At 36.7% G+C, this 26,369-nt stretch overlaps 1 protein-coding gene across 14 annotated transcripts in view, besides 1 other annotated feature; it reads right to left on the bottom strand.

Annotated features, from left to right (window-relative positions):
• MAGI2 (membrane associated guanylate kinase, WW and PDZ domain containing 2) overlaps positions 1–26,369 on the bottom strand; it is a 1,436,613-nt gene that overhangs the window by 492,679 nt on the left and 917,565 nt on the right. For all 14 annotated transcript variants that reach the window (XM_047421093.1, XM_017012845.3, NM_001301128.2 and 11 more), the window contains one exon: positions 11,697–11,912. In XM_047421093.1, the coding sequence (XP_047277049.1) occupies positions 11,697–11,912 (216 nt within the window). The remainder of the gene's footprint in view (positions 1–11,696; positions 11,913–26,369) is intronic.
• Positions 13,939–14,498: an enhancer, noted in NCBI's record as "OCT4-NANOG hESC enhancer chr7:78152989-78153548 (GRCh37/hg19 assembly coordinates)". NCBI's record gives its function as "activates a minimal SCP1, AML or CMV promoter by ChIP-STARR-seq in naive H9 embryonic stem cells {active_cell/tissue: H9 hESC(naive)}" and the evidence as "EXISTENCE:reporter gene assay evidence [ECO:0000049][PMID:30033119]".

Here is a 26,369-nt window from a genome sequence, read left to right on the forward strand (position 1 = left end):
GAATAACCAGAAGCCAAGATAAAACCATCTCAAGAAGAAGAATACACATTTAATATCTTATCCATATTTTCATGTGACACAGTCTATGTATACAGTTAACATGCAGCTTTCTGTAACTGCCGTCTTTTGAAATGAGGGAAAATAATTGATTTGTTTTTAAGGTAGATAGAAAAATTTATTCCTTTAAACTGTCATAAAGTTTGAATTTCCAAAATTTATTTTACCCTGTGATTTATATTTATAATGGCTATGTGACAACTTTTAAGAAATCCAATAATTTTTTCTCCTTGTCTTCATATTATTTCTTTGGAAGTAGGCATGGCTGGAAAACATTTAAGCTGAGAGAAAAAAAGGATCAGGGAACATATTTGTAGTTCATAAAGAGAATAGGAATAATTTGAAATGTAAACTTTTTTTACGTTTCCTTTAAAAATTCCCCGATAACAACAGTCTCCATAAGAAGCAGTAGAACGTAATAGTTAAGGCTTGTGTCAGGCCACCTAGGTTTGAATCTGTCCTTTAAAGTGGGAGGTTGAACAAGTTATTTAATAACTCTGTGGATGCTTCAATTTTCTTAACTGTACAATGGGGATAATGAAGTTACCTACCTATAAGGATTAGATGAGACTTATCTATAAAGTGCTTAGAGTAGTAAACTGCTAGAATATAGTAGGTGTTCAGTAAATGTTGTATATTATTACCACTGAATTCTATTATTTATAATACTAAATAGAGTAGTTAAATTGGTCAAGCAATTTAAATGATTTCTGCCTACAGAAACAAAAGGTATGGTCAATTTTCTATAATTTTTAGATTAGGGGTTTTCAAAAAGTAATGCAAATGTCAGAAAAGGATATACATAAAGGTGGTATTTCTTCTTTAAAAGGTGTTTGCATCAATTGAGCTTTTCTTCCTCAATAGAGACATGTAATGGGGTTAAGTAATTTAAAGGAGGAAAAGCAATCTTCAGAAACCATGCATTCTTTTCAAGTTCTCTATTATGTTCTCTAGAGTTCTGCATTTGCTTTTGTTGGGCACCAGGGGCTGCTACCGAGCTACAAACTTGGCATCACTTTGGCACCTTTGAGAGCAACTGATTTAAAGCAAAATCAGAAACGCAGCTCCCCAATTTTATACTGGTCCAAAGCTTGGTCTTCTCATATACCCCCAGAGCAACTTTGGCTTTCTAGTCTGCTTATAACTGACTCCTCCTCACTCTGGTTTCTGCTCATTTGTGGTAGTGGCCACTGTGTTGGATGTGGTGGGGCTTAAAGATTTCTCCATGCTTTTGTGCAAACCCAATAATCCCATTAAAAAGTGTGTTTGTTATATTGATCTAAGGTTTTATTGGATTGTGGTGGGAGGACTGTTTGCTTCACTGCTGGAAGCTGGCTTAGAATTTGAACTACAGGCTCTTGTAAATAAATCAACACTTCAGGGTTGATATTTGGACAAAAGAAAAATATGATTGTGTTGATTTTTATATATGGGAAATTATGATTATTTTATTTCTAATATAATTATTTGTAAACTTATATAATTGATTTTTCATCGTGGCTGTACTATAGATTATACTCTGTAATGAAAAGTGTAGGACACATTTCAGTGTCTTCAGAAAGGGAGCAGTCACGCATTCTACACAGTCAGTTCATCAAGAAGTCCAGATTGTCAATTATTGCTCAAAGAATGCTCTTATCCATTTTCTTACTTTTCCTAAACCTTCTAAAATGAGAAGAATTCTAATATGGGTACTAAAATATTTGCACATTGTATAGTGACTTTTTTTTGCTCACCATCTTTTATATATATATATATAAATTTTTTTTTTTTTTTTTTTGACACAGTGAAACATGCACATGGTACAAAATCCAGAAACACAATGGAGGAAAACAGTGCAAAGCAAGCTTTAAAATCCAGGGCTCTAGCCATCAAGTTAGCAGTAATAATTATCTTTGTGACCCTTCAGAGATTTTTCTATGCAAATTGATTATTGACTTTTAGTCAGTTTTTGACTCTTCGTGCTCTGAAGTGGTTCTAAGTGCTAAAAAAAAATTCATTATAATTAATATATAAGATATGAGGCTGGGCGCAGTGGCTCATGCCTGTAATCCCAGCACTTTGGGAGGCCGAGGTGGGTGGATCACAAAGTCAGGAGATCGAGACCAGACTGGCTAACACGGTGAAACCTCGTCTCTACTAAAAAAAAAACACCAAAAAACAAAAACAAAAACAGAAAAACATTAGCCGGGGGTGGTGGCGGGCACCTGCAGTCCCAGCTACTAGGGAGGCTGAGGCAGGTGAATGGCGTGAACCAGGGAGGCGGAGCTTGCGGTGAGCGGAGATCGTGCCACTGCACTCCAGCCTGGGTGATGGAGCGAGACTTCGTCTCAAAAAAAATAAATTAAAAAAAAAAAAAAAGGTGTGAGTATAAAGAGGGTGTGGCCTTTAAACAGTGTGGCAAATATATCTATACCATATTTTTGCAGATGTAAACAACCGCTTCCCTTTATTATTTGAGGCCAGGGAGAAAACGTAAGTCTAGAAGGAGATATTAGAATTAGGGAAAGTTAGTGTAATGGTTAACTGTGCTTCTGATTTTTGGGATGATACCTCAATCCAGGAAGCAGAAATCCCCAAGCCTGTGAAGAAATGATTTATATATGTAATTTTTTAGAATTTATTTTATTTTTGAGACAGAGTCTTGCTCCATCGCCCAGGCTGGAGTGTAGTGGTGCGATCTCAGCTCACTGCAACCTCCGCCTCCCGGGTTCAAGCGATTCTCTTGCCTCAGTCTCCCGAGTAACTGGGACTACAGGGGCGTGCCACCACGATGGGCTGATTTTTTTATTTTTAGTAGAGACAGGGTTTTGCCATGTTGGCCAGGCTGGTCTTGAATTCCTGACCTTGTGATCCACCTGCCTCGGCCTCTCAATATATATGTAACATTTATAAGCAAATTACATCTCTTCTATTCAGGGTCTAGCCAGGGGTATGTGAATTACTGAGAATGCATATTTCGTGCCTCACAATTATTTTTCTTCTATATCTAAAACCCATAATTAGTTACAAATTGTTTGAAGTACTAAAAGAACAATATGGAAAATTATGAAAATAGAAAATTCAAAGTCTGTGGGTAGAAGGTGACAAGGAAAACATTTCCTAAAACTAAATTGAAAAGAATCACAGAAAGATTAGTAGAGGAAATTATTTTAGATTAACAGGGGAGAAGAAAATATCTAAAGATATTTATCATAAAGAAACAAGTCCCCCAAATTCTTAACAAACTTTGGGGTGAAAGAAACTGATACAAATGTTGACATACTTAAAAAACCACAGCAAGGTATGAAATAAAGAACATGCACATACAACATTTCTTAGAGCTTGCCTTCAATTTTTTTTTTAATCAGGAGCATAGTATTATATAAAACAGGAGGCCACTTTCTGAAGTTCCAGGAAATTCAAAGGAGATGAAAGAGAAAATTAGGAAGACTTTAAATTTGATCTTGATAATTCAAGAGCTATTCTTTGGGGCAAAATTGGAGTCAACGTATTTTTTGATGAGGGCAAAAAGTCAAACGGGAAAAAACATCACAATACTGTTCCCATTGATAGAGTCATGTAGAAGCAATGGGTGCTCAGAGAGACCTTATGCCCTCTTCAAAAAGAAAGGCCAGTCCTCAGCCAGAAATAACTAGAGCCATCACTGACAATAAAGTAGCTGTGATTTCACACCAACAATCATAATCACTTTCCTGAGGAGAACTATAAGAAACCCAGGGACACAGGTGAAAATCAGACCTACAGAGAATATATGACTGTGATTAGAAAAAAAGCTTAGATTCTAAGAAAGCCTGGAGAACCTGAAGAAACTTAAACATTTTCACAATTCCATGGGCTTTCTGTAACTGCTGGAGAAACCTGAGGTGCTACTCTGGTTGTCCTTGTTCTGCCTTCCTCACTCATGGATCAAATCTCCCTCACACACAAATTACGTAAACTTGCAGAGAAGTAGAGAAACACTCTCCCCAGAGGTTGAGTGCATGCAATGCTGAATCTGTTTAAGAAATGAAGAGGGCCGGGTGCGGTGGCTCACGTCTGTAATCCCAGCACTTTGGGAGGCTGAGGCGGGTGGATCAGCTGAGGTCAGGAGTTGGAGACCAGCCTGACCAACATGGTGAAACCCCATCTCTACTAAAAATACAAAATTAGCTGTGCATGGTGGCACATGCCTGTAATCCCAGCTACTTGGGAGGGTGAGGCAGGAGAATTGCTTGAACCCAGGAGGCAGAGGTTGAAGTGAGCTGAGATCACTCCATTACACTCCAGCCTGGGCAACAAGAGTGAAACTGTCTCAAAAAAAAAAAAAAAAAAAAAAAAAAAGGACTAAAGAGGTTCACATCCATTACTTTCAGTTTAACTGAAACATGACTGTGCCTTGATTTAAAATGACACTTCTAAAACTAGTCCTGATTTCCCTTACTAAAATGGTATGTTTACAATCACTATAATAGTTTAATATTAATAGTAATATAATTACCATTATAATTATAAAATTATTAATAGTAATATTATAATTACAATCACCACAAACTCTAAAGTGATATCATTACTTTTTAATTACACCTAGACAGTCAGAACATTTTACAATTAGGGCAGTTATAACTTTCAAATAATTCTTTCAAGAAAAGATGGAATGCTGGTCATTTATAGATGGAATATCTAATTTTAGAAGGCTAATTTAAACTAGCCCCAGAAATTTTCCCATTCAATGGAGAGATAAAACCCAGTACTCTGGGAACAAGATCATAAAATTAAGCCCTTCTCACCCCGCTCAAAAAAGATAAATATCTGGGTAGATACACAAATCGCAGTCTCTGTGAACCCACACAAAAATAAGCAGGGCATTGGCGTTGGGGTGGTTTCAGAGTGGGGCATTATTCACAGGAAAACAGCGAGATTCACTAGGGAGGACATAATTCTTCTGACAGTGACAGGGTCTCATTCACAGAACCAGGACTGATGGTGCATGCACAGTCAGCGTGCCAAGCAGCACAGGACCTGGATGCGGGTCCCTAATGGTGAACTGAGATCATTGCCGAGGACACTTGGTGATCACATAAGGGACACTCTGTTTGCTCTCTGGGAGATGCAGTTCATTTGCACTAATTGCAGGCTTGGGGGCCTGGAGAAGGCAGCTCTGTGTACACATACTGTATTCTCTTTGTTGGCGAAGGTAGCTCTCATGGGCCCTGTTCCTCTTGGCATTGTGTGTGTGTGTGTCTGTATTAACAGAGAGATTTAAATGCTTTTAAAATATATGCGCATTTCTAATTCTTTGCACTAGGCTTACTAATAGCTTGTGAGGGGAAGCTACAAGATAATAGTGAATTACTTTCCGGAAAAGTTTAGCAGGTAACTCATGAAATAAAAGAAATCCAAGAAAGCTTAACCTAATTACTCTGGTTTACATGATCTTGCTTTCCTGAAGGAGAGTTCAATCTTTTAAAAAATTCAATTGACTTATCTATTAACCATCTATCTATCTTTGGTATTGCCAAAGCTAGGGAGGCTGGCTAATTCTCATCTCTAAGAATATGTATTTTAAAATGCACTTCTGTATACTTTTTTTTTAGTTATACAACTTTTGAAGGAATATAGGATCAGGGATATATCCTTCAAACTTAGGAAACACTGCATATTGAATATACTGAATAGTGTAAAATGAGCATGAAAGGAATGTAATCAGTTGATACAGTAAAACTGACATCCTCTAGAGATTAGACAAGATTGACTAAAAAATAAAGATTTACTAAGTACTTGAAATATTTAAAGGTATATGCTAATCGCTGAACAGGCAAACAGAAAAATAAAAAAAGTCCTTGTTTGGCCAGGCGCTGTAGCTCAAGCCTGGAATCCCAGCACTTTGGGAGGCCGAGGCGGGTGGATCACCTGAGGTCAGGATTTCAAGACCAGCCTGACCAAATGGAGAAACCCCATCTCTACTAAAAATACAAAATTAGCCGGGTGTGGTGGCTGGCACCTATAATCCCAGCTACTTGGGAGGCTGAGGCTGGAGAATGGCTTGAACACGGGAAGCGGAGGTTTTGGTGAACCGAGATCACACCATTGGACTCCAGCCTGGGCAACAAGAGTGAAACTCTATCTCAAAAAAAAAAGGTCCTTGTTCTAATAATGTTTACAATATATATATGGGGATGCCAGACATGCACATTATGAAAAGTTACCAACAAGTACCAGGCTAATACCTTCCAAACACATGAAAAGTGCAAATTGTATTACTGTCATTCAGAGATGATCAGTTTTTACTTTTCATTGTGAAAAGTCAACAAGGGATTCCCAGGAAATAAGAAAAATTTTTATTGGATTTTGAATAAAGAGAATTCAAATGTGGGAATGGTCTGATCACACAGGTGAAAATGTTTTGCGTGTGTAGTGTGGATGAGAGAAAGGAGTTTATATACGGGATTAATGGGAGCCCGTGCTAACAGAGATGTTCTTGTCAAATGTAACAGGACCTGAGTTGCTACCTGAGGAATTTGAACCAATGGAAACAGAAGCTCATTCAAGTTTTGAGGATAGTTGCATGACCTGTTTTTGTTGTTGTTGTTGTTTGTTGGGATAGGGTCTCACTCTGTTACCCAGGCTGGAGTGCAGAGGCATGATCATGGCTCCTTGCAGCCTTGACCTTCCTGGGCTCAAGTGATCCTCCCACCTAAGCCTGCCAAGGAGCTGGGACTACAGATGTGTACCACCAGGTCTGGCTAATTTTTATATTTTTTGTAGACACAGGATTTTGTCATGTTGCCCAGGCTGGTCTTGAATTCCTGACCTCAAGTGATCTACCTGCCTCAGCCCCACAAAGTGCTGGGATTACAAGTGTGAGTCATCACGCCCTGCCATGACCTAGTTTTGGTTCAGGAATTTTTACCTATGGTGGAATAAAAGGTAATTGGATCAGGAAGGATCCTGGAGGCATACAGATCCCTTAGGGAACTATAGTCCACAAATGAGTTAGTAAGGCAGTGCTCTAGGATGGTGCAGTGATATTTCGAAGGCAAGGATGGGAGCCAAAGGCCCTTTTGTGCCTAATAAACAATACCAAGACTGGGGGAAAGAAACAAAATGATAATTCTGAGGAATATGGGTGAAAAGTAGAATTACAGAAATCAGGTAAAGGGCTTTGTGAATTGGTTTGCTTGCTTGTTCTGTGGGAGAAGAGTTTAAGTGAAATGTGTTGCATTTAAGTTGCAGAAGTAATGCTTAGGTGATGCTGTCCAGTGGGCAGCAGTTAGAAATATACCTTAAACACAGGAGAGCAGTGAAGGGTGCAGATAAATCTGTAGAATTTGAAGCCATGGGGCTGACATCAACTCTAATAAGATAAACAGAAAGATGAAAATATCTAAATATAGGTGATGTTAATGTTAAGGTTTCCGGGGGATATAAATTTTAAACATCGGTTCAAAAACAATCTGTAAGATGATGTAAGGATACATCGTACTTGTCATTAAATCTAACATCACTGCTATGAGCCTAGTAAAAGACAAATACAATGGAATACAATGTAGACTAAATCCTCTAAGCTGCAGGATTGCGATTTACTTTGGGGAGGTCAGAAGTCCCTTTGTCTTTGGCATGGTTAACAGTTCTGGGACATGTGTTGGAGAGCGGATGAGTTCAGGTATTACTAGATCCAAATCTCAACTCGCCAGTAAATAAACTTTTACTTTAGTTAAGGACTTTAAGCAAAATTTCAGTATCTCATTCATAAAATAAGTATAGAATTATTATGGGATTAGAGATAATATATGTATTATATGCCTGGTACATTGTTTGTATCCATTAGAGGAGAGTGGCCATTATTATTTATTTTCATGTTTCTCATTTTTTATTATTGACAAGGATAAAACTACATATCTAAGGATAGAATTGTATTGATTTCCATTACCAAGGCAATGTGTGACAGAGGGAGAAATATTTCTGTCCTGACACTGAAAAATCATTATATGGTTTTACTAGGTGCCATGGGCTAACTCTATGTGTCTGGTGCAATTTTGAGCAGAAGGAAAGAACACTCAGTAAAATAAATATTCACATGTCATGTGAATTTCGATAACATTGATAATGTTAGCAGAACTTCCTGGAGAACTTATATATTTAAAGGTGGTCATTGAGTTTAGATAGATAAGGTCTGAGAGAAAAAGAAAACTGCAGTTTAAGTATAATCTCTAGTTCAAAGGAGAAAAGATGAAAAAAAAAAATAGGAATCAGATATAAACCGAGGAATCACCTACAAGCTTTATTTACTTAGAGCAAAGTTTTGGTTAAATATATATAAAGCCAAATATTGGTAGATTTAATGCTTATACATGCACAGAATTTTAAAAACTAGGAATTTTTTATACACAGAGAAGGATGTAAGTTCACTGTACATGATTTCAGGAAATAAAAGCAATATGAAGTTTTTGGTAACTAGAAATTTATAATGCCACTTTGAAAGATATACAGGTAAAATAGTGGTTATATGTTTATATATCACTAAGAAATATATTTATGCTTGTATTTGGTTATATAAGACTCAGGATAGCATGGCAGCCACACATATGGATTGTGGACCAAGTTTTCCTACATATGAACTCCAGTTACTAGGCAAAGTATCTCAGTTTCCTAATCTGTAAAGCAGTACCTAGTTGATGGGACAGTTAAGATAGTTAAATGAACTAATACCTATAATGAGGTTAGGCCACTCCTAAAGCATGGTAAGCATTCAAAAGAAGTGAATTATTTTATTGCTTATTACTATTATCAATATTCCTTCGTAATGGAATAATGTTACCTCAATATGTTTTTTATATTCTCCAAATGTGCCTCATTGATTATAATATTTATGCTCTGAATTGAAGTTTGATATTAATTATTACTATAGTTAGTTGATATAGGGCAGTGTTAACTAAAATTTAAGTGACATGTTTCTCTCTCTCTCTTTTTGTTTGTCTTAGACGAGGTCTCACTCTGTTGCCCAGGCTGAAGTGCAGTGGCACCATCACGGCTCATTGCAACCTTGACCTCCTCGGGCTCAGGTGATTCTCCCACCTCAGCCTCCCAAGAAGCTGGGACTACAGGTGTGTGCTACCATGCCTGGCTAATTTTTGTGTTTGTGTGTTTTGCAGAGATGGGGTTTTGCCATGTTGCCCAGGCTGGTCTCAAACTCCTATGAAAGTGATCTGCCTGCCTTGATCTCCCAAAGTGCTGGAATTACAGGCATGAGCCTCCGCACCTGGCTAGGAACATGTTTCTCAGTCTTCTTTGAAATCTGGTGTCTGGTGAATGTGAAGAATGTGAAGAACACGAAGGCAGGGCAGAGACACTGTGCTAAAAAAAAAAAAAAAAAAAACCAATGTGATGAGTTTCAAAAGGTGAAGAGTTGGGAAATGTATATCAGAGGAGGTCAAAGAAACTCCTAAAGTCTCTACTCAATAAATGTAAAGAGAAACAAAGACATTTCAAGGACTGGGATTGTCAAAGGACTTCTAATACTGGATGATGGACCATTTTTTGGTTTGAGACTGTTCGGCTCATTTTTGAACAGTGGGTGAAGGGCTGCCTGATTTGTATATCTCTCATCTCCCCATAACAGGAAAGAAAAGCACAGTATAAGGGCCACTTGTCCAGCAGGCTTATTTACAGAGCCACTGTTGGCAGTATCCATTGACTGTCTTGAAAACCTAGAGTTGGCTAACAATTGTTCTCTACTATCATCAAGCTGAGGAATCCAGAGATATGGCTAGGGTTGATCAAGAACAGTTCAGTTTTATCCAGTTTCTCTGGGGGTGATGAAGACCTCCTAACCATAAAAGCACATCATCCTTATGCATAAGGTATGAATAGAAGGAAATTTGGCTTTCTAGATTCAGTAAGCCCCATAATTAAACAAGTTTCTAGTTTAAAAGTCTGTGGATCAAGAATACTTCACTTTATTTGCCCTACACAGATAAGAAATGAAATAGGGATCAATGATCCTGGTTTAGCAGGAATATACTTTTTACATTTTTAACCACAAGATGTTAACCAGTAAGAAATTTTGCAAATGTTATATGACCCCAGCCTCTGCTTCTTTTGTGGTTATTGCTTCAACCCAGCTGAGTTGTTCGGCTTCTCATATCAAAGATCAGCTAAGAAAACGATGTACTATCGATGTAATTCTAATGAAATTATATAATTAAAAGCAAATATTTTGACACAGATACTTAAGAATCAAAAAAGAGGAAGGTATCTAATTGCTTGAAAATTGCCACATCATTTCATAGGAGACAAGTTACATTACTTATAGTGATTTTTAGCATTTGTATCTAGAAATCAATGATGCTAGAGTCCATTAATATATTTTAACTCACATATATTAAGGGAGGAGGTTGTCCTCCTCTGAGTAATCAAGATGAAAGCACCTTAGGTTTTATACCTTGATTAGCACAAATTCGATTTTTGGTCTCCTTATGTTCATCTTATGTTCAATGAAGAACACCTTTATAGGCATTTTGAAAAAGGAAGATAAAAAGTAAGCTTATGAAGTTTTTCGCTGATAAAAATAACAGCATAAAAATTCCAATACTATGTTAGTTCCTTGATAAAAATAACAGCATAAAAATTCCAATACTATGTTAGTAGAGAAACAGCACAATAAACCTGAAAATATAGACATCAAAGTGGTAATAAGAAATATCTTAAGAATAATATGTATGAAAGGTACACACACTAACAGTTTTTAAGAGCTTTAAATACGGACCTTAGATTTTTTTAATGCCCACTGCTATGCTACCATTAAAAAATAAATAATAAAATGAAATTTTGGAACCTTACTCCAAGAGGCTACCAAAATGCCACAGTTTTGTTGTTGTTTTGGTAATATTTAATTATGAATAATTTTATTTTAAAAATCTATTTCTGATGCTCTATTAAGTAATAAGAAAAATGCAAATCCATACTTTGCACAAGCACATTTTATATTTGTGTCTAATTCTTCACATATGTGGTACAATGATCATAAATCAAGGGCACAGCTATTATTTTGCTTGTACAAGGTAGTGGCTTCACATTGTTAATGTATAAAGATACATTCTTCATGTTTCCAGATCAGGTGGTAAGGAAAAAGAAACAAATATATGGGCATTCTGCAGTTGTAGCGATTTTGAAAATTATATTCATTGAAGTTGTAAACTAAATCACATGACATAACCTCTACTGAGAGAAGTGCAAGCATAGCAAGATTTCGAAGAATAGATTTTCTCTAATATTAATTAACAGAGAGCTCAAAACTTTACACAACCATATATAAGACTTGCAATATCTTATAGAAGTTTCAATCATTCACTATATTGCTACTAATATTATATAATTGAAATAAAAAATTAAAGTAGTTGAAAAAATATGCCAAAAATGTTTTTGGCATATTCTTTCAACTTCTTTAATTCCATGTCCTTTCCATTTGATATCATAATCTTCTCTCTTTGAAGATAATTATAATAATTACACGTGAACACACAGATGTAAGAAATATATATGTATATATTTATCTTACTATGTATCTGTATATATATCTTACTGTGTATATGTGTACATATATATCTTAGATCTAAAACAGTAAATTTATGAAGCCATAAAAAATGTAAATGACTAACCTGGTGTTACTACTACTCCATTTCCATTGACCACAGGCCTCTCTTCCTCTTCCTCCTCAGGAGGCTCTATACTGGCTTTCTCCATGTTGCTCACTGATTTATTCCTCTTCCGTTTTCCTTCAGCACTTGGAGTGGCTCCTGGAAGTATCTGGTCTGTTACATTTAACAATAATGGTGCTGGTTCTGCTGGCGGCTTTGGGGTACCGTAGTAATTGTCTGCAAACAATACCAAAACATTCTTGGAGTTAAATATTTCTTCTACCATGTACATAATTTGTGAAGAATGGAAATTATATTAACACATTTTTATCCTATTTTATATGTACATACATAGACACATACATATATATATATGGTTTTCTATCTATGTGTCTCTCTATATATATACATATTTATTTGTTCCTTCTGTTGCGTTGGACTTTAATGCTTAGAGATATAGATCTATCTTTATTCTCATCTTTGTGCCAAACCAAAATATAGTCTTATGTATTATTCCCAAGCGGTACATAGTTAATTTTAAAATTATCCGAATTTTTTATAACAAGACTTGATTATAACCTTTTAAAAAATAATTATGTTAAGAGTACAGGTAATTTTTTTGTAGTGGGGTAATCTCACACTATTCTGAAAAGGCAAAGCACGTTCTGCTATTCTGTAGCTTTCAAAGGATTATGGCTATTGTCCTTGATGTGCACAGCATCCTGCCTAGAGCTGTATCCCCGTGCCAGTCTAGTGGTTCCCATGGCTGCTGACAGTGCGCCTGCTGCTCTATTCACTCTTCAGATTACCACAGCTTTTTTTTGCCCATAGCTCCATTATCTGAGCTATGGAATCATCTGTTTCACCCAACCATCTGCAGCACTTTTTTGAAAAGAGAATCATTCTTATTTATTCCCATATTAAAACCTAGCATATAATCATGGAATAAATGTTTATTAAGTGATCATCTTTATTATTTCATTTTATTGAGACAGAGTCTTGCTCTGTTGCCCAGGCTGGAGGGCAATGGTGCAATCTTGGCGGACTGATACCTCCGCCTCCTAGGTTCAAGCAATTCTTGTGCCTCAGCCTCCTGGAGTAGCTGGGACTACAGGCGTGCGCCACCAGTTCTGGCTAATTTTTGTATTTTTAGTAGAGATAGGGTTTTGCCATGTTGCCCAGGCTGATCTCAAACTCCTGACCTCAAATGATCCGCCTGCCTCGGCCCCCCAAAGTGCTGGGATTACAGGCATGAGCCACTGCATGCGGCTGTGAACATCTTGATATGTTCAAGGTAAAACACTTTATTTAAAATATCCTAAAATTTAGATTGGTAAAGAACGTAGGTCATATTTTTTTGAAATCAATCTTATAGCACCAACTTTGAACCTATATCAGTGTTTTCAGTTAATTGAGTAATTTATGCACTTACTTGATCACTCATTAAAATCTTTATTGGTACTAAGTTATGCACCCAGGCACTCCAGTATATGTTTGAGAGAAAAAGGATGAATACAATAAAATCCTTGTCTTCCAAGATGCTCAACAGTCCACTAAGGGAGACCAAATTTGATGTCAAACAGAAAAGCATTATAACAGGAAATAGGAGAAAGCACTGCAATGGAGGAGATACACAGGAGGAAGGAAGCACACCTCACTGTCTGCAAAGGTCACTAAACACATCTGGGTAAAAGGTGTGCTGTGAAAGGAATGACCATTAACCAGAAGACATAGAATTTAGGCTTGGCTTTTTTATATAACTACAAGCAAGTTACTTAACCTCTGTAAGGCTCAATTTCTTCATCTGTAAGTTGGGAAGAGCAGTAATTGTTCTAATCACCTGTGTTCTGGGCTGCAAAAAACCACAGCCTACTCAAGTTAAATGTGATAGGGATGTGCTATATAAATATATAAGATGGCTAGTTGAGAGATAATTGCCCGACGCCCGTAGTCCCATCTATTCTGGAGTCTGAGGCAGGAGAATGGCGTGAACCTGGGAGGCGGAAGTTGCAGTGAGCTGAGATCGCGCCACTGCACTCCAGCCTGGGCAACAGAGCAAGACTCCATCTCAAAAAAATAAATAAATAAAATAAAAAATAAAAAATAAAAAACATTGCCCAAGACTGGGTAATTTAGAAAGGAAAGAGGTTTAATTGACTCACATTTTCACAAGGCTGTGGAGGCCTCAGGAAACTTACAATCATGGCAAAAGGGGAAGCAAGCCCCTTCTTCACAAGGCAGCAGGAGGGAGAATGAACACAGGAGGAACTACCAAATACTTATAAAACTATCAGATCTTGTGAGAACTCACCACTATCACCAGAACAGGATGGGGGAAACTGCCCCCATGATTCAATTACCACCACCTGGTCTCTCCCTTGACATGTGGGGATTATGGGGATTACAATTCAAGATGAGATTTTTGGTGGGGACACAGCCAAGCCATATCAAGGGGAAAGGCCGAAAAACCATGAGAAAAAATGGCAGAAACAAAGGAGCCCACTCCAGACACTTATGTTGCCTTTGATAGCCCTGAAATCTCCAGATGGTTCTACTAACAAAGGGACAACCCACAGTGCAAACTGCCTCCATGAGAATGGGCTCCAAACTGTCCTCAGCTGCTCTGATTCACTCATTTCTAGGGAAAAAAAAAAATCCCAGGCAGGATCATCTCATTGGCTGAGCCTCCATCACGTGAGAGCACCTGGGCTGCCAAGGAAGCAGAAGAGATGTGCACTCTCCTTTGATTTCAGTAGAGGGAGAGGGAGGGGGAGCCCTACCGTCCACTGATTTTATCTCAGGGGCCTCCCCGGGTAGAAAGAGCCTCTCCCTGCCCCTGCTACCCCGCCCCGGCAGAAAGGGCCTTGGAATGCTGGCAGGTAGAAATGACAAATCTCCACTCCATTTGCCTTCTCACTGGGTTGTTGTGAAGACGAAGTAAGAATGTATGAGAAAGAGCTTTATTAAAAAAAACTGTAAAAATTGCAGTGGTTTTAACGGCAGTGTAAACTTCATGCTGGCATAAAGTGAGCAAATATTCTGAAGGCTAGCTGTGCCAATAATGCCATTGCTCATCACTATAGATATTCACAGTAAGAGAGTAATGCAAGAAAAAAAATTAAGTTGTAAAGTGGTTCTTATCCACATACTGTAAGTATATAACTTTTTTCTTTTACAGTCGGCAAAGTGGATAATATATACACGTTGCTAAATGTTACTATGTAATTTGATTTAGAGCATTTAAAATAAATCAGACCTCTATATGTACCAGACAAATTCTGAGCAAACAAAAATGAACAGTTGCTCCCTGGTATCAATGAACTTTTATATTTCAGCATTCCTAAAGGGTAGCACAGCTTTCAGTAAGTATGTTGCTATGCTTTCTATGGAATCTCAACACATACTTCTTATCTAATAAGCATAATGTAAAACTAAATAATCTATGCATATCTCAATAAATGATACATGATTTTAAGGTAGTATTCTAATATCTTTAATACCTTTAATACATAGTACTAAGCAAAATGGATCACACTTCAGTGTTTTTTTTCCCTATTTGTCTTGTCAATTTAAAATTTCCCTGAAGTAAAAAAACCTTTTACTAATTAGACATAAATGCATAGCACAGGCTAAAAATAAATACTAAATAACAGATCCTGCTAAATTTATATTACTAATTATACCTATTGGTATATGATATGACTATAAATTATACAACAATATTCTATTTCTATAAGTGTATGAAATACATCAGATTAAATTTTATATGTAAAAATATGAATCATTAGTTAAGACATTAAGATTATCTTTATTGGCAATAATAGCAATATAAAGGAAGCACATAAATAATCCATACTCTTACTACACTTGACAAATGTAATTCATAGAGAATAAGGTACCCTAAGCCAACGTTTTTATCTCATTGCATAAGAACCAGGAAACCAGAAATACCTAGACCAATGGTTGAAGAATTAGCCAAGCAGTCAGGCAGCTAACTCATTGAACTGACTCCCTGAATATAAGTGTATACAAATAAATGTATCAAGGATAAAATGTGCCTTTTAGGTAACGTACCAGTATGTTTTCAGAAAAAAATAAATATCAAAACTGTTTTAAAATACAATTTGGAAAAATTGTTCCCTAAGGATGAAGTGCCTATATGCATAGTGCCTGGATATAGAAAATCTAAAATTAAAACAGACGAAAAAACAAAACCTCCACAAACCCACAACAATATGGTGTAATGCTTAACAGCATAAATGCTAGTGAGATAAACCTGACTTTGAATCCTGTGTCCCCTAATCTCAATACCTCTTTATATCCTTAAATCAATTCAGTTAAAGTGGGAAAGTGGGGATGTAAGATGACCACAGTCACAAAAGCAACTATAACTATTACTACTGTTATTACCACTATGACTGCTACAACGTGCTAACCTGCACACCGTCATGGGCATTTTACATAAGTATTCTTGTATCAAATGGGGAGTAGAGTAACTCTTTCCCCACAGTGCTGTTATATAGATTAATGATACTAAAAGGATATATGACGTGACTAGATCAGAGTAGATGCTCAAAATAGGGTGCTACTTTTGGTATTTATTCATCACAATATAGCATGAAGTCATTCTGCCTATGCAGTTAAGAAAATAGAGACTAAGACGTTAAACTATTTCCTAATATTATATATAAAGCGAGTGGAAAACTTATATCTCTTTGACTTAAGAACCTCATCTCTTTTGAAAATACGCTGTTGCCTTTTAAGAGAAAAAAATGTGTGATGCAATCGCAACCTGCCCAGAACTCATAGAGGAGAACTTCATTCAAAGCCACAGTCAATGAACACAAATGCATCAGTTTCAAAAGGGAAAGGCAAAATTGCTACCAAAGCATACAGCAAGGACATTTTAGGAATTTTTTTCCATCCAGTCCTTTAAAAATAAGTGTGTGTGTGTTTGTATTTTAAGGAGAGTACAGGCTTTTCTAGAGCACTTTTCACGGAATATGTTTGTACTTGTGAAGAATCATCTATACATTAGCAGTTTCTTGTAAGTTTAATATCAAATTCCACTAACTTATTGAGTACAACAAAATGATACATAAAATTGTCCCCTTAATTCTGTGATATTTGGAAAATCTATAAATTTACATAGTCTTCTTTGTAATCAATGCCTGCAAAATAAGAGAGAAAGTCATTTCAGGACCCTGACTTATTCTTCAGTTTTTTAACTACCTATGAACAGATTCTTTTTTTCATAAAGGTGGGGCTATGAAAATGTGGAACAGGATGAATGTACTCTGTTATACAAATAGAAAAGTTGGCCGGGTGCCGTGGCTCACGCCTGTAATCCCAGGACTTTGGGAGGCTGAGGCGGGCAGATCATGAGGTCAAGAGATAGAGACCATCCTGGCCAACATGGTGAAACTCCATCTCTACTAAAAATACAAAAATTAGGTGGGCATGGTGGCATGTGCCTGTAGTCCCAGCTACTAAGGAGGCTGAGACAGGAGAATCGCTTGAACCTGGGAGGCAGAGGGTGCGGTCAGCCGAGATCACGCCACTGCACTCCAGCATGGTGACAGGGCAAGACTCCATCTCAAAAAAAAAAAAAAAAAAAAAAAAAAAAGAAAAAGAAAAAAAGAAAGAAAACTTTTCCAAAAATGTGAATAAAAAGAATAGCCCATTGTCAATAATTTATTTTGTAATAAAAACATTTAATAAATGCCCATTTACACAGGACAGTCACACAATTTATTGCAAAGGGAGAGAGACTAATTATGAGCTAAACCTGCCAGGCAAAGTCCTTGCAAAACCTAATCCCTTACCCATTTTTAGGCAGACCTGTCCCTAGGTCATCTGAAAGCAGTGAGAATAGCTTTCTAAATAACTTTTCATGTACTGTACTTGAAACCATTGTGGAATTATTCTTCTGCTTTCTCTGTAGTCAATTGACCTTTGCATAAAAGTTGTATTTTAAGTTTCTAAAGTGATGATTTTACCTTTCTTCTGATTCCTCTCAGATTTTTTCACATTGATTTAGTGGTGAGGCTAAGGGGAAAAACAGGAATATGAAACGATTTCAACGAATTTAAACTGTTTCCTTTTTTGTACCTCCAGTCTTCATTGAATGATAATAGATATCAAAATATTATTTTCTGAGATGCACCATGTTCTTTATGCTTTTAAATTCCAGTATTATGACAAGAAATAGGAAAGACACTGAAAACTAATTTTAGGTATGAGGAAATGTAAAAATGCTAGTAGCAGATACTTTGAAATACTTTCACTTACTTCCAACACCTTTTTTCTTTAAACAAGATCAGTTTTCATGATGGAAACATATAATTTGTTATTACTTTAGTTTATTTGGCTTTTTAAGTTGTAGACTCAGATGCTTACTCTGTTGTTTCAATCCTTTTGGTGTATAATAATATGTGTAGGTTTTATATCAAATAACGATAGATCCTTCCATATGGCTCCCAAGTGGAGATGGGTTTTACAAAGGTAATAAATATACTTGTCTTCAAGATACCACACAGATTAAGGTCATGACTTCTATTCCTCCCCAATATTCTCAGTCCTTTTTTCCCCGTTTTGGTAAATGGAAAGAATGAATTTTGGATAGTGGTTCAGCAGAAGAGAGATGATTGCCTGCAGGACCCACGGGGCATGCAAACAGCGCAGCTCATCAATGGTATTCCCAGAGAGCTTGAGGATATGTCTTCGTGTTGGAAACAATATGTGGCAAACTTTAAATGGTTGAGAATCATATTTGTTTTTATAGTTTTATAAATGAAGCAAATAGTTTGATGCTTGGCCTCTTTAATAGCACCTGCAAAAATTGACTCTGACGTTAAACAGAGAAAAGATTTAGGGTTCCAGCTGATCATAATTATGTTAGAAAACTTGCCAGATTGTAAGTAAACAATCATTTTATACACATCAGAGATTTAGATGTATATTAATAGAAATGGATAAATCATCAAAGGACCCCAAATTCAAACTTTAAGACATGTTTAACATATTAAACAAGGGATAGTAATGAGTTAAAACTAGTACCAAAAACCATTCTAACTCATGTCACCCATGGCAAAAGAATCATAGTCATATAGCTATAGTTAGTAAATTAGAAATTTTGTAAATATAAAATGACGTGAGTAAATATAACCCAGAAAATATTCTACTTTTCTAAAACTGGATTTTCTACCAGAAAATAAGACAGAAATTCTTACTGCAGAATTCTTTTGTCAACCAATTTTTGAAATTATTTTTGTAAGCAGCTCTGATGCTTACATTTGGTCCTGAAAAAAACAAAAATATATCATTTCCTCATCATGTCATATGTAGTTAGCAGCTTGAAACCAAGATGCAGAAACTCCCTGACCTCGAAAGATAATGTCTTTTTCTCTTGTGGTGAAAAAGCATTAATCTTACATGTGTCAGAAATAAGAAAAATATACCAAATAGCATTTTGTCATCAATACTTATACTGAACAGTAAATTTCTGAATTTTTAGAAATTCAGTGTTTAAGTGACTTTCAGGAAGTCCACAACTGTACAAAAAGTGGGAATGTTTGTTTTTTTTTTCATACATGGAATTGAATTATTCTTAACAAACCCCACCTAAGAATTTCAAATTTGTTGTAAATTAAATTAACGCTGGTTTCACAATATGATCTCCAATGACATACATTCTGAATTTACTGTCTTTATTATTCACCAGTGCTCTCCGGAAAGTCATGCAGATAGTTAAATTTGACTAACATTTCCTGAAACTTGTTTGCAAGTCCTCAGAGGTCACTCTGACTGAATATTCATTTATTCACGTCAGCTAATGTAGACAGGCACAGGATAAATCTTTGCTAAATGTAATTGTCCACAGACTGGCTAGGGAAGGTGGTTTGTTCATGTAAAGGAAATTGGACACTCTTTCCTTCAGTGGCTCTTCCCTTCAGGTGTTATCAGAGTAGCTCAGAACATTTCCCACCTGCGCCAGATAGCAGACGGAAAGAAATTATAAAGAAGTCACACATGATTTGTTGATGTCAAATATACATCTGCTTCCAAAAGAAGGCATTTGAACATTTGTAACTATAACATAAACTTTAAATTCATGAGTATATCCCATTTAAAGAATGTATTAAATCCCTTAGAATAGCACTATCTAGTAAAAATGGAATGCAAGCCACAGATATGAGCCACATATATGGAATTTAAATTTTTTTGTTTTTGCTTTTCTTTTCCTTGCTAAAGGAGATGGTTTTTTTTTTTTTTTTTTTTTTTTTTTTTTTTGGGACATGGTCTCACTGTGTTGGCCAGGCTGGTCTCGAACTCCTAGCCTCAAGCCTTCCTCCTACCTTGGTCTCCCAAAGCACTGAGATTACAGGCATGAACCACCACACCTGGCCAATCATCTTAAAATTTTCTAGTTAGCCATATTAAAAGAGAAAAAATGTGAAAGTAATTTTAATATTTTTCTTTACCAATATATCCAAAATATTTTAATAATTAATAAAAAAGTTACTGTAATATTTTATTATTTTAATACTAAGTCTTCAAAATCCAGTGTATAGTTTACATTTACAGCACACCTTAATTGGGACAAGCCCCATTTCATATATTTAATGGCCATATGTTACTAGCAGCTGCTATACTGGACAGCACAGCCTCAGATAATCCCTTTCATCAAATATCATTTTAAATTACTATATTATCACCTGAATAACTCATTTTTCTCACAAACAATAAACCGAACATCTCTGTCGTAAATAACTGAGAAAACTGAGTAAACACCAAAACACAATAACAACTGTAGGTGACAATGTGTCAATGATATTTCTCTTGTTTGATTGCTTTGGTCCATTGAGCACCTGTAAAATGTTATTAAGCATCTAGCAGATGTACATGTCTTAGCAACACTCTCTCATTCTGCTTCCTACTCATCCATTTTTATCACTTTATCTTGTCTTAACTTGAAATATTCATTTTTAACTTTATTATTAAGATATAGGATAGAAGGTAAACAAAAAAAGAATGAATGTTTTAGGCAAATAAGCATGGACTTGTGTGAAGACACTGTTCTTGTGTTCACGGGTAGGACTGAAGCGCCCTCTTTATAATTAGTCATAGCTCACAGACAGAGGGATTGTTGACTCATGGCAGCAGTGTGGAAACAGACAATACTCATAGTTATCCTTTTCTCTCTTGCATTTCCTCTATAACTCCCTCTCACTTTGATCCCCCATCGTGTTCAGTACCCAGTGCCTCATGCTTCTCTTTTCATTAGGCTCCTACTTTCGCACCTCATGCTCATAACAATTCCAATTTTCTTTTTTTTTTGGACATATGATATGTGTCCCATTTCCAATTTCCTTTCAGTCTTGCCAAGTGACTGGGTTACTACTCTGAGAAACTAAACTAAGATGTCAAGGATTAAAATAGGCTTCATAGGCTCCATATGATGCTTGCATTTTAATTAGAGTTAAAACTCTAATCCAAAAGGTTAATCTTAAAATTTGGGAAATAACTAGTCAACCACTGGAAGAACTTATTTTTCAGAAGAGCCTTTGGTGCTCCTCAAATCACAGTGGAGGTGTTATCCTGAGTAGTAAGGGCTCCTGGGAGGGTAGATATGATGACCCTGCTCCCTCAGGGAACTCAAGCAAAATGCAGATGCAAAGATATTTGGAAAACGGTACTGAATAAAAAATAACTTTAGTATAATTCCAGTTAGTAACAAACTTATAAGTCTATCTTTTTGAATGGAAACCTTTTGCAATTGTGTTATTAATGTAATTATTAATTAAGTTTTTTTTTTTTTTTTTGAGACAGAGTCTCACTCTGTCACCAGGCTGGAGTGCAATGGCATGATCTTGGCTCACTGCAATCTCTGCCTCCTGGGTTCAAGCGATTCTCCTGCCTCAGTCTCCCAAGTAGCTGGGGCTACAGGCATGCACCTCCACGTCGAATTAATTTTTGTATATTTAGTAGAGACGGGGTTTCACCATGTTGGCCAGGATGGTCTCGATCTCTTGACCTCGTGATCTGCCTGCTTTGGACTCCCAAAGTACTGGGATTACAGGCATGCGCCACCACACCTGGCCTTATTTAAGATTTTTAAGTGTCTAGTGAGCTCAATGCTTAAGAGACAATCCCGTCATGGCTCAGTACGTAAGAAAAGGAAAGTGAAATTTTGACAAATTTATAAATGGGCATTTGTACAAAGCTCAGCAGATTCTTGTGATAGTCATCTTAATTAAATTTACTTCTTCAAAAATTGATAAAGAAAACTGAGCCTTTCAAGGACATTACTTTCTCACACAACATTTATAGCTTGTCATATAACTTCCTTCTCCCAATGGTGCTTTCAATTGTGATATTATAAAATTGCGAAGAAATTAGGAGACCTCTACGACTATTTTTAGTCCCTGTCTTGTAAATACAATACCCAGGGAAATTTCTGATTAATTTTAATTTGATTGTTGGTTAATGATTAAAGGAATTTGCCAAATATCAAATCTCTAACCCTCAGTTGCTAATAAAAGTCAGAAAAACAATAAAAAAGAAATTTCATTTCTCCTTGAAGAATATGACTGCTAGATTTTCCCAAGCTTGACATGGTAAGAGCTCTGACACAGAGTCAGAGGATCTAGGTTCTAAACAGGGTTCTACCACTAATCTCCTTAAATGACTGTGAACCGGGCAGCAACCTCCCCTGAACCTCAGATTCCTCACTGTGAAAATACAGAATTAGGACATACCTCTAAAATGCTCCTCACCTCCAAAATTCTGTAATGAAAAATTTTAAAGGATGCAAGGACAACAGGTTTTCTTTTTCATCATATTAGAAAGCCCTGAATTGACAATGAATAGAGAATAACAATAAACTAAAGTCAACAATTTCACTTACTTGAGAACCTGGATGCATTTGCTTTCCTGACATAATGTGGAAAACTGTCATTTGACTGTATCTTTATATGTCTTTGCACAGTCCCTTCTGGGAAAGTGATTGTGGTTGCAGAGTGTTTCTATTTTTATTCCAAGCCTTTCATTTGCATCCATCCCTGTTGGTGAATTAGAGAGTCCCTAAGTATATCTCCCATAGGATGTAGACTATGATTACTTTGTGGAAGGTCATATATAAAGCACTTCGACTTTATATTTTAGTCTATGTGATACTTTAAAATTTACTGACTTTTTTGGAGTTGACATTTTTATTGTAATCACCTTGTGATCTGTGTGACACAAACATAAAGCCTACGTGTTAGAGTATGGTTAACATTAGCAGCAATTTAGATGTAAGTAGTACTAACGCATAAGTCAGAAAAACAACAAACAAACCAAAAAGCTAAATAAAATTTTCTTTAGCCTTTTGGCATATAACCCTAGGCTTTGACTGCATGATGCTAGCATGTCTTACTTAACCTGGATTTTCTTTTGCCTCTGAATCAATATACTGACTACCTATGAAAACCAATCTAATGACAAAGAAAACTCTGAACTCATTTTATATTTAAAACTCTGGAAATCAACTAATTCTTTTTTTTTTTTTGAGATGGAGTCTTGCTCTGTTGCCCAGGCTGGAGTGCAGTGGCACAATCTCGGCTCACTGCAAGCTCTGCCTCCCGGGTTCATGCCATTCTCCTGCCTCAGCCTCCCAAGTAGCTGGGACTACAGGTGCCCACCACCACACCCGGCTAATTTTTTGTATTTTTAGTAGAGAGGAAATCAACTAATTCTTTAAAGGTGTAAAGGTGTATATTTTACTGAGGTATACCTCTTCTACTCATCACATTTTTATGTAACTTGGCCTTTCATACCATCCTTCAAATTATATAGCAAATTATGAAGTGTCACAAATAAGAGTTTACTTAGAAAACCTGTTGAATTACTGAGAAACGAGCACAGTAGGGAAAGAAATGTGTGGGTCAAAAAGACCAGAAAATACATAGGAATAAGAAAAGTAAGGACAAGGAGGCACTGGAAAAAGATGAGGAAAAGAGAAGATGAAGAGGAGAACACAAAAGAAGAGGAAGTGTCATGTGTAATTTCATGAAGTTGTAAGGTTCCAGTGTAATCTCTGAGGAGACATTTTGGCCCAAAGCCACACACACATAAGGTCATCTGTGATGACCCAGTATCTGAGAAGGTACTAGAGCGGCACTATCCAATATGGCAGCCACTTGTTACATCTGGCTGTTGAGGACTTGAAATGTGGCTAGTTCGAGTTGAGATGTGCTGTAAATATAAATTGCACACTAGTTCTTAGTACCACAAAAGAAATAAAATATCTTAGTAATCATTTTTACATTGATTATATGTCAAAATGGTAATATCTTCCATCTCAATTCCTGGGCTAGTTCTTCTGAAAAAAAGTAAGACTCAATAAGTAGTCAACTACTAGTAAGTAATGATATCCATAACTAATAAGAGTGAGTGAAGGTGAGAAGGAGTCAACCCAAGGATCCAGGACAATAGACATTTGATAGGCAAGAAACTCAATCAGAAAGAGTATCAAGAACCACGATTGGGGTTGAGCTGCTTATTGCCTGACCAAGCCAATGACAGCTGAGTGATGGGCAGAGGGGAAGGTTATCATACATCTAATCATCTTGTCATTCATGCAGCAAACATTTACTGATAGCCTATTATTTGCCAGGCACAGGTTAACTCAAGGAACAATGGTGAATGACATAAGCACAGTCCTCTTTGAAACTTACCTTCTCCTGAGGGAGATAAATATTAATCAAAAAATCACACAAATACAAAATTATAAATTCTGACAAGAGCTAAAAAGGTCAAGTGGTGGTGTTTGGAGAACTCCAAGAAGAGTTCAAGTTAGGCTTTTTAAGAAAAAAAATTGGAATTATGATTGAATACCCAGCCTTTCTCCCTCAATCTGGGCCAAAATATTTATGGATAAATACAGATCTTTAGGAAATGCATGTGGTTTAACCACAAGAAATAAAATTGCTCCAATGTTCTTAAACTTGTCCTAAGTAATTTTCTAAAAGCCAAATGGCTAAACTATATGGAAATGTATATATGTGTGTGTTTGTATATATATGTGTGTGTGCGTGTGCTCCCAAATAAATCAAGTTGCTTGCCAAATCTAAAATTAGCAACATTTCTGCTGATTAGCCAGATAAGCTCTTCTTTTCTCAGTTTAACCCAAGACATAGTCTCTACTGAAAAGACCTCTAACATTCACAAATCCAAGAGCTATGCAGTTTGAAATGAAGTTTTGTTTTTTACTACATAAACCTAATTGAAGGTAGAACTGATAGCAGGTTTAACTTGATATTGACCTTTGTTTCTAGACTGATGACCAATGTAGTCTGGTCATTTCCTGCTTCTGATAGTGGGGGAGCAAGTAGAGTCAGTGAAGGAAAGGCTCCTCCATAGCACTGATGTCTAAAGTGAAATTAGAAAAAAAAATGAGTAAGGCCAGGTGCAGTGGCTCACGCCTATAATCCCAGCACTTTGGGAGGCTGAGGCAGGTGGATCATGAGGTCAGGAGTTCAAGACCAGCCTGGCCAAGATGGTGAAACCCCGTCTCTACTAAAAATACAAAAATTAGCTGGGTGTGGTGGTGGGCACTTGTAATCCCAGCTACTTGGGAGGCTGAGGCAGAGAAATGCTTGAACCCAGGAGGCGGAGGTTGCAGTGAGCCGAGATCGCACCACTGCACTCCAGCCTGGGTGACAGAGCGAGACTCCATCTCAAAAAAGAAAAGAAAATAAAAAAATGAGTAAAATGAAGTAAAGGCTCAAGAGGTACAGAGAGGAAAAAGCATTCCAGGCAGAGGAAACAAATTTACAAAAGCCTTGAATCTGGAGAAATAATAGTAACTTGGAAGAACTAATAGGAAAACACTCAGGCTAGAGATAATATGGAACCTAATAGGGTTTGTTAAAGATTTGGGTCAATTTCCAAGAAATAAAAGGAAGCCCTTAGGGGTTTTAAAAGGCATTCAGATTTGTTTTTAAAACAGATGTCAGGCTGCAGGGTGTAAGATGGATTGGAGGCAGCAAGAGTGAAAAGTCTTGAGGTCAATGAGGGATATTTACAAAGGTAAAGATGTTATCTTTGAAACTGCCTTTGTAAAAATTATAACTGAGGAAATCATGACAATGAAAGAGCTCTGTCCTGACTCCATCTTGCCTTTAACATCCAAACTGTTTTTTTTTTTCATACCTGGGTGCAGGCTGAACTAACTTTGGGAGGAACTTACAGTTTAACAAAGATGAAAACAGCCCTTTCCCAAAACAAACCCCCTTCTTGCCTGGGGAGTAGACTGTCTTTGCAGGACTAACAAATTAGCCACAAAATTAACAATTATGGTTAAAGAGTCACCGTTTTAAAACCTGAGATCAGTGCTTGAGATATTTTGCAGACCCTGCATTTCAAGGCATCAGCTGACACCACCTAGATCGAGAACCTGGCTCATCTAGTCTTGTGTACACCCCCCCCGCCCACCGCCTCCCCCCAACACTCAGGAACTGACTCAGCACAAGAGGACAGCTTCAACTCCCTGTGATTTATCTTCCGCCGGACCAATCAGCACTCCCTACTTTCTGACCCTCTTCTCACCAAATTATTCTTAAAAACCCCGATCCCCAGATTTTCAGGGAGACTGATTTGGGTAATAATAAAACTCTGGCCTCCCATACAGCTGGCTCTGTATGAATTAAA

Source organism: Homo sapiens, chromosome 7 (genome assembly GCF_000001405.40).
Source record: "Homo sapiens chromosome 7, GRCh38.p14 Primary Assembly".
Taxonomy (NCBI): Eukaryota; Metazoa; Chordata; class Mammalia; order Primates; family Hominidae; genus Homo; species Homo sapiens.